This window comes from Homo sapiens, chromosome 2, assembly GCF_000001405.40.
Source record: "Homo sapiens chromosome 2, GRCh38.p14 Primary Assembly".
NCBI lineage: Eukaryota > Metazoa > Chordata > Mammalia > Primates > Hominidae > Homo > Homo sapiens.
Window position 1 is genome coordinate 229,374,956 of NC_000002.12, and position 19,249 is coordinate 229,394,204.

The 19,249-nt window shown below is 40.3% G+C and overlaps 1 protein-coding gene across 1 annotated transcript in view; it reads right to left on the minus strand.

Moving 5' to 3' along the window:
* Positions 1-19,249, minus strand: part of DNER (delta/notch like EGF repeat containing) — a 356,927-nt gene that overhangs the window by 17,327 nt on the left and 320,351 nt on the right. The window contains exon 11 of the mRNA NM_139072.4: positions 13,310-13,441. Coding sequence (NP_620711.3) covers positions 13,310-13,441 — 132 coding nt within the window. The remainder of the gene's footprint in view (positions 1-13,309; positions 13,442-19,249) is intronic.

Sequence of the window (19,249 nt, forward strand, 5' to 3'; positions counted from 1 at the left end):
CATTTCCCTATGCTGTACACATCCATCAGAGCTCTTCAGAGAGGCAATGGAATGTTCCTCCTCATGAGATTTTTTGGAATAAAAAAGTCAAGATCGAATCACATCAATAACAACTACCTATCTGTATAATGCCTGTGGTCCTATAATATTCTGTACTTGCAGCAAATTGGTTATTAACCCAAAAGTATCTAGTTTACCCAGGTTCCATCAGAGATGGGAAATTTCATTTTCAGCAGATGCCCAGAGACTTTTAGTTGTTCAAAGAGAAAGACAGCTGATGATAATAATTAAGGTAATCATTTATTAAGTATCTACTATGTACCAGTCACTGAACAATATTGGTTACATTTACTATCCCATTTATCAAGGCCTAAGGCTCAGAGACCTTGTTTTCTGGCCCAGGGATAAATACCTGAGTTAGAATTCAAAACAGCTCAACTCACAGAATTGAGTTATCAACCACAAAACTCCACAACAGCATTCTTTCCACTCAATCAGTATGCTTTCCCCACATCTAGCCACAATCCCTCCCTGAGAAGGAGAGGATGCATTCCTGGTGTTCCAAGTATGTACTAAAGGTAATTATGGATTCAGTGGGATTTGCAAGTTACCCTTGGACCCCACCACCATTGCTTCCAAGGGGAAAAGTTCTAAAAGGCAAAAAGCCAACTTATAATGAAATGCTCATGAAAAGTTAAAAGATAATCACCAACCAAAATCAAAATATTAAATGCAAAAACCCTTTGACAATTTTATCTTTGAGAATTTCTACTATTGATATTCTTACATAAGCACAAAGATGCTGCTATGATCTGAATGTATGTGACTCCCAAGCTTAAATGTTGCAGCCTAATCCATACAGTTAGGCTTTGTGTCCCCACCCAAATCTCATCTTGAATTGTAATCCCCATAATCCTCATAATCCCCACATGTCAAGGGAGAGACAGGTGGAAGTAACTGAATCATGGGGGCGGGTCCCCCATGCTGTTCTCATGAAAGTGAGTTCTCACAAGATCTGATGGTTTTATAAGGGGTTCTTCCCTATTCACTCAACATTTCTCCTTCCTGCCACCTTGTGAAGAAGGTGACTTGCTTCCCCTTCGCCTTTTGCCGTGCTTGTAAGTTTCCTGAGACCTTCCCAGCCATGCTGAAATGTGAGTCAATTAAACCTCTTTCCTTTATAAATTACCCTGTATCAGGCAGTTCTTTATAACAGTATGAAAACAAACTAATAAACTAATCAACGAAGCGATGGTATTAAGAGATGTAGTCTTTGGGAAGTGATTAAGTCATGAGGGCTCTGCCTTCATGAACTAGGTTAATGTCCTTATAAAAGAGGCCCAAGAGAGCCACCTTGCCCTTCCACTATGTGAAGACACTGCCAGAAGGCCCTATCTATGAGGAATGAGCCCTCGTCAGACACTGGATCTGCCAGTGCCTTGCTCTCAGACTTCTCAGCCTCCAGAACTGTGAGCAATTACTTACTGTAAGGTATTTTGTTATAGTATCCCAAGCAAACTAAGACAGGTGCATATATAGAATATTCATTCTAGTATTGCTTTAAATAGCAAAACCCCTCAAATGTATTATCTATCAATGGGGGTCTGATTAAATAAATTTTGGAGATGCTAAAGAATGGAAATACCATGTGACATTTTAAAAAGTGTCGTAGATCTGCATAAGGTAGTGTGGGTGCACCTTCAGGATATACTGTTACAATAAAAGCAATATGTTGAAGAGTGTGTATAAAACTCTCATTTGTACAGGAGAAAATAGGAACTTATCTATTGACTGATGCATCTAGAAGAATATGCAATAAATGTCTAACAGTAGTTACCTTTAAGGAGTGAGGTGGGGATCTGGATAAGGAGAGATATTAATTAATTTTATTTTTTAAACATCTTGGTTTATACAAAAATGAGAACCAAAGAGCCAACCTATTTGTATAATAAGAACTGCCCATATAATATAATCATTTGATACATTTCTTTAACCATTATTAAATTCCATCTATTGTTAAAGGAAGAGGCCCAAGACATCCATCTATACCTCTGGCCCCAGGATGAGTTACTTTCCCTTTCCCTGGTTGTCTAGAGGTGGCTGTGCAAAGCCTTACGGTGACTCATCATATATTCAAACCTGCCCTCAGATTACAAGCTCCCAAAGGCAGGGTATGTTTCATTAACCTTTATATTCCAGAACTACACTCAATGCCTGACAATAAAGAGCCACTGATTCCTGATTGAATGCATAAATCTAAAATAGCCTATTTGCCTATTTCTCAACTGCAAAATATCATTAATTCAATAGTTTAACTGTATTTAACCATAGATTCAACTGTTTAATATACAAAACTGGCCAACTGTCAGTCAATGAGGTTAACTATAACTCTAACTTTATAAAGCTTACTCAAACAAAGCAAAACACACCAACACTGCTATGTCAAGATTCATAGAAATTTTGATTTTTAGACCTTGATTCTAGGAAGGCATATTTTCCTTTTATTATAATTCAGAAAAAATTATAATCAGTCCCAAGGTGGTAAAAATGAATGGCAGAAAATTAAAACTTCACTGATGTTCTGTTAATTTCCAGAACTGTGGGTTTTCATTTGCCTTAAAACATGTGTAAATCACTACAGCTATTTGATCGATTCTATTAGGATGGTCCTGGATCAATCTTCTTGATAGTTTTGATAAATCTGTGTGGTCTGTTAGATTTCTGCTTCTTATTACTGACTGGCGGCCAGATAATTACCCCAAAGGGGCAAATAACTAGGGTGATGCGTTAACAGATAAAATTAATTCTACCTCATCCCCAAATATTGTAATATTTAAGAACAAAGAGAGAGGAATGAGATACCATTGGTGGGTGGTACGAAAGGCAGAATAAGGGTCTCCTGAAGATGTCCTAATGCCCAGAACCTATCAATACATTATATGGCAAAAATGACTTTCCTAATGTGATTAAATTGAGATCTTGAGATGGAGAGATTATTCTGGATTATCTGGACAAGCTCAATGCAACCAGAAGAGTCCTAATAAGTGAAAGAAGGAGGTAGGAGAGTTGACAATTGAGTGATGAGAATGAAAGCAGAGGTCAAAATGACATTTCTGACTTTGAAGAAGGCAGAAGGCACCACGAGCCAAGAAATGTGAGCAGCCTTAAGGTTAGAAAAGGCAAGGGGAGACAAGTTCTCCCCTAGAGCCTCCAGAAAGAAGACAGCCCTGCTGGTCTCTTGATTTTAGCCCAGTGAGGCCCATTTTGCACTTTTGCCTTCCAGAACTGTAACGTGATAGATCTGTGTTGTTTTAAGCCACTCAATTTGTGGTAATTTGTTACAGTGACAAGAGGAAACTAATACAGATGGTCAGGGAAGGCACCTTTGAACTGAGACCTGAATGAGAAGAAGGCAGCTGTGCTAAAATCTGAAAGAAGAGAGCTCCAGGCATAGGGAACAGCATGGGTGAAGGTCCTGAAGGCAGGGATGACCTTGACCTGCTCAAGGAAGGGAAAGCAGGACACTGTGGCTACTGCAGAGGCAGCAAGGAAGACAGGCAAGCAATGTGGCCTCTGAAGGCAGTGATCGAGTTAATGGAAGCCTCCTTTACTTCCTCAGGTGACTCAGCAGCCCTCCAGCACCATGTAGCTATGTGGGCCATGGTTCTCTGTGTACATCTGAGCTTTTCTGTTTAGATCTACTGACTAGACTTTGAGATATCCAGGCATCCTCCTCTTGGTTTCTGGATACTTCAGAGGATCACAGATGCTCAGAGTTAGAAAGAGACCTCAGAGGCCGTGGTTCCCATGGCTCACGCAGGACTAGAGGCCTCTTACAGCTTCCCTGCCCACCAAATGTACGAATTCTGTGTGCACTCTGGATCCTCAGATCCATTCCATTGATTCAGACCCAATTATCTAGACACGAGCCACTGGTTTCAGCTATGTGTCATCCGCAAACCTCATACACACGGTCTCCTTTCCATATACTCAGGTCATGGTTAGAAATATCCAGTGCTGGGACCTGGCAGAGCCTAATCTGTAATTAAATTTAGTTTTGATACCTTTGGCCCTATAGAGAAATATAAATGAGATCATCAAATGGAAGATGATAGAGTTGAGTGAACACGGCGTCCAGGTATGCACTGAGATGTGTAATGTACCCTATCACACCCAGCCACTCAGAATAGCCACTGTCCTGGGCTGTAGGCAGCATCTAAAAAGACAATTGCTGAAGGTTAATCCTTCCTGGGAGTAGCTCATAGCATAAGAGGTATAGTAGTACAGAAAAAATAAAAGAAAGATCAACCAGTATTTATTTAGTGTCTACTGAACAGCAGAAATCTGGACATTTGCCTCATGTAATCCTCACAGCAACCAGCATGGGAAGCCTTCCTATAATCAAGTGAGAAAGACAAGGCTCCCAGAGGTAAATTTGTTTTTCCAGGTTACATAGTTAGAATATGATGGAGCTTGAATCTGAAGTCGACTTTGATCCTTTTGTTATTCCATATTTTGCCTACATTATCATCACCAGAAGAAGTAAACTTTAGATTTTTTACAATGATAGGATTTCACTTCAAAATTTCTTGATGATATCCTGTGTGTTCCTGACTTTTCATCTATACTCTCCTATATATTTATCTTCATGAATCCCATTTTAAAGTTATAAGTAGATATTACTCTGCCCTAAAGGCACAAAGTGTGTCAATTTGTCATACTAAACTTTAGAATGAAAACTGATCCCATTTTCTGGAAAAGTAAACTGAGGCTCAGCACAAGCAAATGCAGTCATAACGAGTGCCTTGGCCAGGATAAGAACCAAGGTCCTGCTGACCCAAGTCTGGAATCCTTTCCACCAGCAGATTCCACCAGACTGGACTTAACATCCTATAACTACAGTCCCTTAGAATTTTACCATTGAAATCCTTTTCAGTCCCTTGTCTCTCTCTTCAACAAGAAAGTAGTTCTCACCCATCTTTAGCAAGGAAAGTTAATTCGAAGCCCATTCTGTATGAGAGCAATTGAGAATGCTAAGGGGGAGGCCTATAACAATTACACACTTCACACTTTGGCTGCATGAACCAAGAAGAAAGACAGTGAGTGAGCAGGTAAGAAGCTAAATCATATCCTCAGCCTCTTATCAAGTTGATCAAATTGACGTTGGAGAATGTGGTCAAGTTGGTCAAGTTGATGTCAGAGAATGTGGTCCACATTTGGACAAGAGAGTTTCCTAATACCGGCCACCCTCTACATTAGAAAACACTGAGAATGAGATGACCCTATCCAGCCATAGGCAGCCAGAACCACCAGTGAGGGCCTGGTCTTGTGACATAGAGAGGAGTGGAGAGAGCAGACAGATCAGGCCAAGTGACACAGACAGACAGGCAGAAGCAGGCAGGCAGGACTGTGGGTACTGATTTGCATCCTTCCAAATTCACACAGAAGACAAGTTTTCTTTATCTGTCAAAAGGTGAGTGAGCAGGTGACAGAGCGCGGAAGGGAGTTCTTATGCAACTTTCCCAGGAAAAGAAGCAATCTGGAATAGGGAGGAAACTTTCACCCAACCAGCATGGTTAGCTCTCTTCGGCTATGAAAGATCAAATTGCCCCAGCTAATTTAAATAAGAAGACAATACCTTTCAAAGTTGAATCTTTAACAGTTCCAAAACAATTGAAAACTCGATTGCAGTCAGGCACGGTGACTCACACCTGTAATCCCAGCACTTTGGGAGGCCAAGGCAGGTGGATCATGAGGTCAAGAGATCGAGACCATCCTGGCCAACATAGTGAAACCCCTTCTCTACTAAAAATACAAAAATTAGCCAGGAGTGGTGCCACACACCTGTAATCCCAGCTACTCGGGAAGCTGAGGTAGGAGAATCACTTGAACCGAGGAGGCAGAGGTTGCAGTGAGCTGAGATCATACCACTGCACTCCAGCCTGGACACAGCAAGACTCCATCTCAAAAAATAAAAATAAAAAAATAAAATAAAATAAAAAAAGAAAACTGGAGGGGAGGCTGGCAAAATGGCCGAATAGGAACAGCTCTGGTGTGCAGCTCCCAGCAAGATCAATGCAGAAGGCAGCTGATTTCTGCATTTCCAACTGAGGTAGCTGGCTCATCTCATTGAGACTGGTTAGACAGTGGGTACAGCCCATGGAGGGCGAGCAGAAGCAGGATGGGGTGTCGCCTCACCCGGGAAACACAAGGGGTCAAGAAACTCCCTCCCCTAGCCAAGGGAAGCCATGAGGGACTGTGTCGTGAGGAACGGTGCACTCCAGCCTAGATACTATACTTTTCCCATGGTCTTCACAATCCACAGACCAGGAGATTCCCTCGGGTACCTATGTCACCAGGGCCCTGGGTTTCAAGCACAAAACTGGGCAGCCATCTGGGCAGACACTGAGCTAGCTGCAGGAGTACTTTTTTTTTCCTACCCCAGTGGCTCCTGGAACACCAGTGAGACAAAACCGTTCACTCCCCTGGAAAGGTGGCTGCAACCAGGGAGCCAAGTGGTCTAGCTCAGCAGATCCCACCCCCACGGAGCCCAGCAAACTAAGATCCACTGGCTTGAAATTCTCACTACCAGCACAGCAGTCTGAAGTCGACCTGGGACACTGAAGCTTGGTGGGGGGAGGGGCGTCCACCATTACTGAGGCTTGAGTAGGCGGTTTTCCCCTCACAGTGTAAACAAAGCCGCCAGGAAGTTTGGATTGGACGGAGCCCACCGCAGCACTGCAAAGCCACTATAACCAGACAGCCTCTCTAGATTCCTCCTCTCTGTGCAGGGCATTTCTGAAAGAAAAGCAGCAGCCTCAGTAAGGAGCTTATAGATAAAACTCCCATCTCCCTGGGACAGAGCACCTGGGGGAAGGGGCAGCTGTGGGTGCAGCTTCAGCAGACTTAAATGTTCCTGCCTGCCGGCTCTGAAGAGAGCAGTGGATCTCCCAGCACAGCACTTGAGCTCTGTTAAAGGACAGGCTGCCTCCTCAAGTGGGTGCCTCCTGACAGAGAGACACCTCCCAGCAGGGATCAACAGACACCTCATATAGGAGAACTCCGGCTGGCATCTGGCAGGTGACCCTCTGGGAAGAAGCTTCCAGATGAAGGAACAGGCAGACATCTTTGCTGTTCCACAGCCTCCATTGGTGATACCCAGGCAAATGGTCTGGAGTGGACCTCCAGCAAACTCCAGCAGACCCACAGCAGAGGGGTCTGACTGTTAGAAGGAAAACTAACAAACAGAAAGGAATAGCATCAACATCAACAAAAAGGATGTCCACACAGAAACCCCATCCAAAGGTCACCAACATCAAAGACCAAAGGTAGATAAATCCACGAAGATGAGGAAAAACCAGCACAAAAAGGCTAAAAATTCCAAAAACCAGAATGCCTCTTCTCCTCCAAAGGATCACAACTTCTCACTAGCGAGGGAACAGAACTGGACAGAGAATGAGTTTGACGAATTGACAGAAGTAGGTTCCAGAAGGTGGGTAATAACAAACTCCTCTGAGCTAAAGAAGCATGTTCTAACCCAATGCAAGGAAGCTAAGAAACTTGAAAAAAGGTTAGATGAATTGCTAACTAGAATAACCAGTTTACAGAAGAACATAAATGACCTGATGGAGCTGAAAAATACAGCAAGAGAATTTTGTGAAGCATACACAAGTATCAATAGCCAAATAGATCAAGCAGAAGAAAGGATATAAGAGACTGAAGACCAACTTAATGAAATAAAGCATGAAGACAAGATTAGAGAAAAAAGAATGAAAAGGAATGAACAACGCCTCCAAAAAATATGGGACTATGTGAAAAGACCAAACCTGTTTGATTGGTGTACTTGAAAGTGACGGGGAGAATGGAAACAAGTTGGAAAACACTTTTTAGGATATTATCCGGGAGAACTTCCCCAACCTAGCAAGACAGGCCAACATAATTCAGAAAATACAGAGAACACCACAAAGATACTCCTCGAGAAGAGCAACCCCAAGACACATAATCATCAGATTCACCACAATTGAAATGAAGGAAAAATGTTAAGGGCAGCCAGAGAGAAAGGTCGGGTTACCCACAAAAGGAAGCCCATCAGACTAACGGCAGATCTCTCTGCAGAAACCCTACAAGCCAGAAGAGAGTGGAGGCCAATATTCAACATTCTGAAACAAAAGAATTTTCAACCCAGAATTTCATATCCAGCCAACCTAAGTTTCGTAAGTGAAGGAGAAATAAAATCCTTTACAGACAAGCAAATGCTAAGAGATTTTGTTACCACCAGGCCTGCCTTACAAGAGCTCCTGAAGGAAGCACTAAATATGGAAAGGAAAAACCAGTACCAGCCACTGCAAAAACATACCAAATTGTAAAGACAATTGACACTATGAAAAAACTGTATCAACTAACGGGCAAAATAACCAGCTAGCATCATAATGACAGGAGCAAATTCAAACATAACAATACTAACCTTAAATGTAAATGGGCTAAATGCCTCAATTAAAAGACACACAGTGGCAAATTGCATAGAGTCAAGACCCATTGGTGTGCTGTATTCAGGAGACCCACCTCACATGCAAAGACACACATAGGCTCAAAATAAAGGGATGGAGGAATATTTACCAAGCAAATGGAAAGCAAAAAAAGGAGGGATTTCAATTCTAGTCTCTAATAAAACAGACTTTAAACCAACAAAGATCAAAAGAGACAAAAAAGGGCATTACATAATGGTAAAGGGATCAATGAAACAAGAAGAGCTAACTGTCTTAAATATATATGCACCCAATAAAGGAGCATCCAGATTCATAAAGCAAGTTCTTAGAGACCTAAAAAGAGAATTAGACTCCCACACAATAATAGTGGGAGACTTTAACACCCTACTGTCAATATTAGACAGATCCACGAGACAGAAGATTAACAAGAATATTCAGGACTTGAACTCAGCTCTGGACCAAGCAGACCTAATAGACATCTACAGAACTCTCCACTCCAAATCAGCAGAATACACATTCTTCTCAGCACCACTTCGCACTTATTCTAAGATTGACCACATAATTGGAAGTAAAACACTCCTCAGCACATACAAAAGAATGGAAATCATAAGAAACAGTCTCTCAGACCACAGTGCAATCAAATTAGAACTCAGGATTAAGAAACTCACTCAAAACTGCACAACTACATGGAAACTGAACAACCTGCTCCTGAATGACTACTGGGTAAATAACGAAATTAATGCAGAAATAAATAAGTTATTTGAAATCAATGAGAACAAAGACACAATGTACCAGAATCTCTGGGACACAGCTAAAGCAGTGTTTAGAGGGAAATTTATAGCACTAAATCCCCACAGGAGAAAGTGGGAAAGATCTAAAATCGATACCCTAACATCACAATTAAAAGAACTAGAGAAGCAAGAGCAAACAAATTCAAAAGCTAGCAGAAGACAAGAAATAACTAAGATCAGAGCAGAACTGAAGGAGAGAGAGACAAGAAAAACCCTTCAAAAAATCAAGGAATCCAGGAGCTGGTTTTTTGAAAAGATTTACAAAATAGATAGACCACTAGCCAGACTAACAAAGAAGAAAAGAGAGAAGAATCAGATAGACACAATAAAAATTGATAAAGGGGATATCACCGCTGATCTGATAGAAATACAAACTACTATCAGAGAATACTATAAACACCTCTATGCAAATAAACTAGAAAATCTAGAAGAAACAGATAAATTCCTGGACACATACACCCTCCCAAGACTAAACCAGAAACAAGTTGAATCCCTGAATAGACCAATAAGAAGTTCTGAAATTGAGGAAGTAATTAATAGCCTACAAACCAAAAAAAGCCCAGGACCAGATGGATTCACAGCCAAATTTTATCAGAGGTACAAAGAGGAGCTGGTACCATTCCTTCTGAAACTATTCCAAACAATAGAAAAGAGGGACTCCTTCCCAACTCATTTCATGAGGCCAGCATCATCCTGATACCAAAACCTGGAAGAGACGCAACAAAAAAAGAAAACTTCAGGCCAAGATCCCTGATAAACATTGATGCAAAAATCCTCAATAAAATACTGGCACACCGAATCCAGTAGCACATCAAAAAGCTTATCCACCACTGTACTCCAGTCTGGGCAACAGAGCGAGACTCCATCTAAAAAAAAAAAAAAAAAGCTTATCCACCACAATCAAGTTGGCTTCATCCCTAGGATGCAAGGGTTCAATATATACAAATCAATAAATGCAATCCATCACTTAAACACAACCAATGATAAAAACCACGTGATAATCTCAATAGACACAGAAAAGGCCTCTGATAAAGTTTAACACACCTTCATGCTAAAAACTCTCAATAAACTAGGTATTGACAGAACGTATCTCAAAATAAGAGCTATTTATGACAAACCCACAGCCAGTATCATACTGAATGGGCAAAAGCTAGAAGCATTCCTTTTGAAAACTGGCACAAGACAAGGATGCCTTCTCTCACCACTGCTATTCAACATAGCATTGGAAGTTCTGGCCAGGTCAATCAGGCAAGGGAAAGAAATAAAGGGTATTCAAATAAGAAGAGAGGAAGTAAAATTGTCTCTGTTTGCAGATGACATGATTGTATATTTAGAAAGCCCCATTGTCTCAGCTCAAAATCTCCTTAAGCTGATAAGCAACTTCAGCAAAGTCTCAGGATACAAAATCAATGTGCAAAAATCACAAGCTTTCCTATAAATCAATAATAGACAAACAGAGAGCCAAATCATGAGTGAACTCTCATTCACAATTGCGACAGAGAATAAAATACATAAGAATACAACTTACAAGGGATGTTAAGGACCTCTCAAGGAGAACTACAAACCACTGCTCAAGGAAATAAGAGAAGACACAAACAAATGAAAAAAACATTTCATGCTCATGGATAGGAAGAATCAATATCATGAAAATGGCCATACTGCCCAAAGTAATTTACACGTTCAATGCTATCCCCACCGAGCTACCACTGACTTTCTTCACAGAATTGGAAAAATCTACTTTAAAGTTCATATAGAACCAAAAAAGAGCCTGCATAGCCAAGACAATCCTAAGCAAACAGAACAAAGCTGGAGGCATCATGTTACCTGATTTCAAACTATACTACAAAGCTACAGTAACCAAAACAGCATGGTACTGGCACCAAAACAGATGTACAGAGTAATGGAAAAGAACAGAGGCCTCAGAAATGATGCCACATATCTACAACCATCTGATCTTTGATAAACCTGATAAAAACAAGCATTGGTGAAAGGATTCCCTATTTAATAAATGGTGTTGGGAAAACTGGCTAGCCATATGCAGAAAACGGAAACTGGACCCCTTCCTTACACCTTATACAAAAACTAACTCAAGATGGATAAAAGACTTACACGTAAGACCTAAAACTGTAAAAACCCTAGAAGAAAACCTAGGCAATACCATTCAGGACATAGGCATGGGCAAAGACTTCATGACTAAAACACCAAAAGCAATGGCAACAAAAGCCAAAATTGACAAATGAGATCTAATTAAACTAAGGAGCTTCTGGACAGCAAAAGAAACTATCATCATAGTGAACAGACAACCTACAGAATGGGAGAAAATTTTTGCAATCTATCCATCTGGAAAAGGGCTAATATCCAGAATCTACAAAGAACTTAAAAAAATTTACAAGAAAAAAAAAACAAACAACCACATCAAAAAGTGGGCAAAAGGTATGAACAGATACCTCTCAAAAGAAGACATTCATGCAGCCAACAAAAATATGAAAAAAAAGCTCATCATCACTGGTCATTAGTGAAATGCAAATCAAAACCACAATGAGATACCATCTCACGTCAGTTAGAATGGCGATTATTAAAAAGTCAGGAAATAACAGATGCTGCAGAGGATGTGGAGAAATAGGAATGCTTTTATACTCTTGGTGGGAATGTAAATTTGTTCAACCATTGTGGAAGACAGTGTGGTGATTCCTTAAGGATCTGGAACCAGAAATACCATTTGACCCAGCAATCTCATTACTGGGTATATACCCAAAGGATTATAAATCATTCTACTATAAAGACACATGCACACGTATGTTTATTGCAGCATTGTTCACAACAGCAAAGACTTGGAACCAACCCAAATGCCCATCAATGACAGACTGGATAAAGAAAATGTGGCACATATACACCATGGAATACTATGCAGCCATAAAAAAGGATGAGTTCCTGTCCTTTGCAGGGACATGGATGAAGCTGGAAACCATCATTCTCAGCAAACTAACACAGGAACAAAAAACCAAACACCACATGTTCTCACTCATAAGTGGGAGCTCAACAATGAGAACACATGGACATAGGGAGAGGAACATCACACACTGGGGCCTGTCAGGTGGTGGGGAGCTAGGGGAGGCATAGCATTAGGAGAAATACGTAATGTAGATAACAGGTTGATGGGTGCAGAAAACCACCATGGCATGTGTATACCTATGTAACAAACCTGCACGTTCTGCACATGTGTCCCAGAACTTAAAGTATAATAGAAAGAAAAAGAAAGAAAGAAAGAAAGAAAGAGAGAAAGAAAGAAAGAAAGAAAGAAAGAAAGAAAGAAAGAAAGAAAGAAAGAAAGAAAGAAAAGAAAGAAGGAAGGAAGGAAAGAAGGAAAGGCAAGCAAGCTCGATTCCATGTTAGTTCTCATTTTTCACTTCAATCCTAGTAGATATATTGTTTTAAGGTATAAAATCTTGATTAAGACATTTATCAAACTTCTATTAGTTCACCCTAAGAGATCACTCAGCTTTAAGCAGCCCAAAATGTTTTTCAGCCTTTCTTTTAAGCTTGTCTTCACTGAACTTTTCTCGAGGCAATAGAAGGAACTTAATACATTTGAAGACACTTGAACACATAAATAAAAAGGTAATTTGCATTCTGTGTGTGTGTGTGTGTGTGTGTGTGTGTTTTTTAATTTTCAACACAAAGACTCTATTTTTTTGATACGATTCTAATGCTTTTCTGTTCAGCACATTTTTGGCTGCATGAGTAGCAGTGAACTCTGGATGACATCTGAAAATTCTCATCCTGGGGAAAGGCTGGCTTCAGACTCAGGAGGGAGTGGGGGCAGCAGAATGCAGGGGGCAAACATGCTAAACTGGGTATTGAGCACCAAAATGGGGCAAGTGTAGCTCCGGTTGTCCCTCTGGGACTCACTGCCTCATCTGCCAGTGACTCGGGGGCTTTCTGGTCACAGTCGGCATCTTCTTCATGAAGGAAAATGCTTAAGTAACAGCTATAAATGTTAAATAACAGTGGCTGAGCTGCAGAAATACTTACGGATCTCACAGTTTGCTCCCACCCAACCATGCGGGCAGTGGCAGTTATAACCATTGGGCTGGTCCAGGCAGCTCCCACCATGGTGGCAGGGGTTACTGTCACATTCATTTATGTCAATGTCGCACTCTTCACCTAGGGAGATAAGAAAAAGCAGTGGTGAAACCGCTGCACCCATGGTTCCTGTCATTTTTCTGGCCAAAAAATAAAGATCCAAGGCTAGGGGTCATAACCTTTAGCAATAGAGCCCAACCTGCTGTTTGTATAAAGTGCAGAACTCTCAGAAAATTCCAGACGAGGGATCTTTTACTTCAGTAAAACTAAAAAGGAAATATATATATATATATATATATATATATATATATATATATATATATATATATATAGCACTGGTAAAAAGAATCTTTCCTTTAGTGTACTTAACTAGTTAACTAGCTTCATTTAGCTAGTTAAGTGAGGTTGATTCCCATGTCTGAATAAATCTTTCCGGGTTGATCAGAAAAAGTGAAGTCGGGATCTTGATATTATTAAAGAAGTCTATTTTATTTTGGATTTCATCAGCTGCATCTCGTTATTTTTCTGAAACTCCAGAAAGCTGAAAACTCACAGTTCGTGATTATTCTGTAGCCAAGTATTTGAGTATGTGAGAGTGGACATTTGACTCTTCTCTGGATAGTTCTAGGACATAGCTGTGCACCCAGCCTGAGGCAATTTGGAGAGGTTACTCCACTTCCCAAATCCCTGGATGTGATTCTGCTTGAAGCTGGGGGACCTGAAATGCTCAGGAAGAGCATCAGGCCCACCTAAGGAGAGAACTTGTGAAGTCTGGGGTTAGTCTAAACCTGACCTAATCTCTTCTGAGAAATGGTGGTCCAAGGGAAGCTGTCTGTCATTCTCCCATAAGGAAGAATGTGATCTTCAGCTCCTGACCCTGGCTAGACCCAACTTTTCAGGACACCTTTGCGTGCTTCAGAGAGAACCTGATAGAAATTACAAACCAGGGTCCAGAGCCAATGTCACGGTGATTCAAACACCACCTTAGAACAAAGCCATCTTCAAGTGATTTTAAAGCCATCATTAAGAGTCATTACAAAACGCATACACCTCTTAAATTTAAAGGCATCTCATTAAAGCTGAAGAGAAGAGGATATTTCAAATTGAGGCACTCCCTCTGTCAAAAGTTTGAAAACGAGAAAAAGAAATTTTCAAAATAAGCCCTCCTTTGCTTAGATAAATGCAGAAAGTGATGAGAACAAAACTCCTAGCATGGCTATGGTCATGGACTAAAGCATATGGACAAAATCAGATATTTTTGTCCATTTTCAAAAGCAATGTTTCAGTGTACACTCAAGTGATTACTTCTGGGCTCATTTAATTAGCATTAAATTGCTTTTCTATCTGCTATTGGTTTACCTTACGTTTATAAAACCACTTTATGTCACTCAGGCCATTTTAGAGGAGGAATCTCACACTAATATATTCCATGTCTGTTTCATCTCACACTGTTTCTATACCTGGCATCTTACTATTTTATTTTTAAATAAAATCTGTTGAACAAAACATTTACAACTTCTAGATCCTACTAGGTTGATTATAATTCAGTAATATATACGTGAATTTGTTTCCTGCAACAAATATTGTCACTTACATCAATAGAAAAAAACATGAAATTGATTGCCTATTTCAAAGGCTGTCTTTCCATTAATGGGGCAATCACTCTTAGTAGAAATAGTCATAGATTAAACTATTACAAATGGCATTACATGGCAGACTGGTTGAAGGGACATATGATCAGGAACATGCTGAGAAATGTTAAAAGGATGAAATCAAAGACCTTAACAAGTATATATGTCAGTACTAATTTCCAACCATCTAGGAAGATAAGTGTAATTGGAGATATTTACTAAACAATAGCTTTCTTTAGCTGGCAATCTGAACACTGCAAATTCTGAAATGAGATGCTCTGTAACCTTTACAAGAATAGCTACAGAAACAGCCCACATTTCCCTACTGCTATGGTCTGGCAAAACTCAAAAGCCTCACTCTGCTTCACGAAGTCCAATGTCAATGACATATGCTTTTCATTTCCTAAACTCTATGCAGTCCCAGGGCTATCAGTTCAGTCCATCCAGGCCTGCTCCAGTCCAGAGCTTCTCCAAAAAGGCAAATGCCACATTCAGGAGCCAGGGCAGCCCCCATGCACGTATTAAATCACTTGGATCACTAAGGGGCTCTAACATAGTCAGGGGAAGCCCAAGGTCCCTAGAATTGTCTGTTCTTGGGATCCACTAGATTGGACGGATTTGGTAAGAATGGAGATGGTGGGGAAAAAAATAGGATGACCTCTTTCTGTAGACATTTATCAAATACAGTATCTAAAATCCAACTAGGGCCAAACCTATCTCATTCTGGTTTTCATCACCATAACATTCTTACAGTTACACTGGGGATTAAATGACGCAAATTAATGAAATAAACCCTATGCCAGTCAGGGCCCCACTTAGCTGACAGCTATTTCTGCAACATATGTGCTCTGGCAGAACCCTGGAGTGATGCACAGTTCTCAGATACCTTTAGGTTTATTCTAATGGCCTCTTTTATAGATGGACACTCCTATGCATCTAGTTGAATCAGTTATTCCTTGGGTTTATTGTAATGGCCTCTTTTATAGACAAACCCTCCTACGCATCTAGTTGAATCAGTTATTCCTCAACTGGCTCTCAGTTTGAGGCCTTTGCTGTGTTCTATGCTGGCTGGCAATAGGAGCATGAGGTGACTCAAATGATGGAGCCCCTCAAGGGAGTTTTCAACCAGAAGACACCCAAGGATGACTGTTGTTCTCTGCCTTACAGTGATCATGCTTTTTGCTATCAGTCTTACGCAAAGTGTTTGAAGATGCACTATGAATTATAGAAAAGTTTGGCTTCATTTACGTTTCCCCATATTAACGGCATTATGTTTGTATATGCATTTCAACACCACAACATTCCATTCTCAATCAATATTCGTTTTAACTTATTTTATTATAAGAGTTCTTAGTATACAGTATTATCTTTCTTTGCTAATAGTTAACTAATAAATCTTTAAGCTTTTGCTGCCCTGAGCCAATTGACCTTTTAGTTGGCTCACTTACTCTTTTTAAATTTGAGTTCAAAAAAAACAATTATTCTTAAACCACTGTTCTTGAATAACATCTATTGAGAAAATACAAAATGAAATTTCTACTTGACTAAGGCTAGCAATCAAGGTCTGAACTTTAAATCTTTTATAATTCTTTTTTCTTTTTTCTTTTTTTTTGAGACAAAAATCTCACTCTATCACCCAGGCTTGAGTGCAGTGGCACAATCTCGGCTCACTGCAACCTCCGCCTCCCAGGTTCAAGCGATTCTCCTGCCTCAGCCTCCCCAGTAGCTGGGATTACAGGCGTGTGCCACCATGCCCAGTGAATTTTTTGTATTTTTAGTAGAGACGGGGTTTCACCATGTTGCCCAGGCTGATCTTGAACTCCTGACCTCAGGTGATCTGCCCACCTCACCCTCCCAAAGTGCTAGGATTACAGGCATGAGCCACCATGCCCAGCCAAATTTTTTTTCAATGTACTACCTTCTGTGAGGCAATATGTAAGTACAGTGGGTATCACATTTGGTAGTACTTATGTAGATTTACAAGCATACTGATTCTGCTTGCTTTCCTTGGGTAAATTAAGAAATGCAAAAAGACAAAACCATCCAAAGTCACCGCTGTTAGTAAATCCTTGGGTTAACAGAGTCCCCACTAAAAGATATTGATGACAATTACTATAATCATAATATCTAGTATTAAATATATGCCTCCTACATGCCAGGCACTGATTGGGTGCTTTGACTATAAATCTTTCATATACTTCACTAAGAGTTTATTCAAGATAAAGTGAGTTTTAAAAATTATTTCTAACTTTTTTTTATCATGATGGAATAACTGGCACCTGTCTTGCCTTCCCACTGTAAACAACTAGACAACTAGATGAAATATATGAAAAAAAAAAAAAACTATGAAGACATTGGACAACAGGAAGTCCATGACTGTGATTGCTGCAAGAAGGGAAATAAAACAGCTGAGCACCACAATCATTCTGGCTTTCTTCCTGGAATTAATTTAGAACACAGTGGTTTCACTGGCTTGAGGAGACAAAGATCAGAGTGTGTGGAGGCCAAGGTAGCTGTAATTTGTAGGAAAGACCACAACACAAGATAGAACCACTCAGAAATTGAGCACCAGAAATCTGCTGCATCCCGTAGGCTGTTGCTGAAGACGTGTGTGTGTGTAACTTGAAGCTTGGCAAACAAAATGACAGATGAGCAGTTCCCAAACTCACAGAGGACTGAGAAATATTCAGATTTGCACTGCCAGAGTGGAACTATTTAATGGATTACCCAGTACAGTCAGTGAAGCCACAAAAGATCACACCTTAGTAATGGGGCACAACTATCCCTAGAGTAAGGCTACTCTACATTCACCTCCCCAAAATGTACAACAAACCTTGAAAGGATTAATTAGGTCAGCAAGTTACTTACCTGACACAAAAAAAGTCCATTACTTTTTTTAAAAAAGACAATAAAATCCAATCACTCAACAACTTAATCCACAATGACCATCATTCAAACAAAAATTATTAGACATGCAACAAAGTAGGCTCACGTGACCCATAACTGCATGAAAATCAGTCAAAAGACACAAATTCAGAAACAATGGATGAGAGCTAGCAGACAAAAAATGTGTTCAAAATGTGAAATAAAATATAAAAAACAATGAACAGAAACATGGAAAATAAAAAACAAGCCCAATGGAACTTTTAGATATGAAAAATACAATATCTGAAATTGTTTTTAGAACCCAATGGTCTTAATAGTAGACTAGTGACTCACACCTGTAATCCCAGCACTCTGGGAGTCTGAGGCGGGCTGATCACCTGAGGTCAGGAGTTCGAGACTAGCCTGGGCAACATGGCGAAACCCCGTCTCTACTAAAAATACAAAAATTAGCCAGGTGTGATGGCACATGCCTATAATCCCAACTACTCAGGAGGCTGAGGCAAGAGAATCTTGAACTAGGGATGCAGAGGTTGCAGTGAGCTGAGATCACGCCACTGTACTCCAGCCTGGGTGACAGAGTGAGACTCCGTCTCAAAAAAAATAAAAATAAAAATAAAAAAATAGTAGATTAGACACTGCAGAAGAAAATATTAGTAAAGTTGAAAACAGAACAATAGAAGCTTGACAAACTGAAACTCAGAAAGAAAAAAGACTTTTTAAAAAACTAAGTAGAAGCTGAGCACAGTGGCTCACACCTGTAATCCCAGCACTTTGGGAGGCTGAGGTGGGTGGATCACGAGGTCAGGAGATCGAGACCATCCTGGCTAACACGGTGAAACCCCGTCTCTACTAAAAATACAAAAAATTAGCCAGGCGTGGTGGCGGGCGCCTGTAGTCCCAGCTACTTAGGAGGCTGAGGCAGGAGAATGGCGTGAACCTGGGAGTTGGAGCTTGCAGTGAGCCGGGTTCATGCCACTGCACTCCAGCCTGGGCAACAGAGCGAGACTCCGTCTCAAAACAAAAACAAAAACAAAAACAAAAACAAAAACTAAGCAGAGACTCTGACCCATTGGACAATTTTAAGCAGTCTAACATAGATGTACTCAGAATCCTAGAGAAAGGATATGAGGCCAAAAATAATATTTAATAAATTAATGGCTAAAAATTTCCAAGTTTGATGAAAACTGTAACCACAGATTCAAGATGTGCAACAAACCCCAAGCAGGATAAACACAAGAAAACCACACACACACACATCATAGTGCAGAAGCGAAAGCAACTGCATCTTGGATACTGATTAACCCCAGTTCCAGGAATGCCTCTAAGGATTCCAGTTTATGTACTGTTCCTTGTACAAGAACAGATACTTACC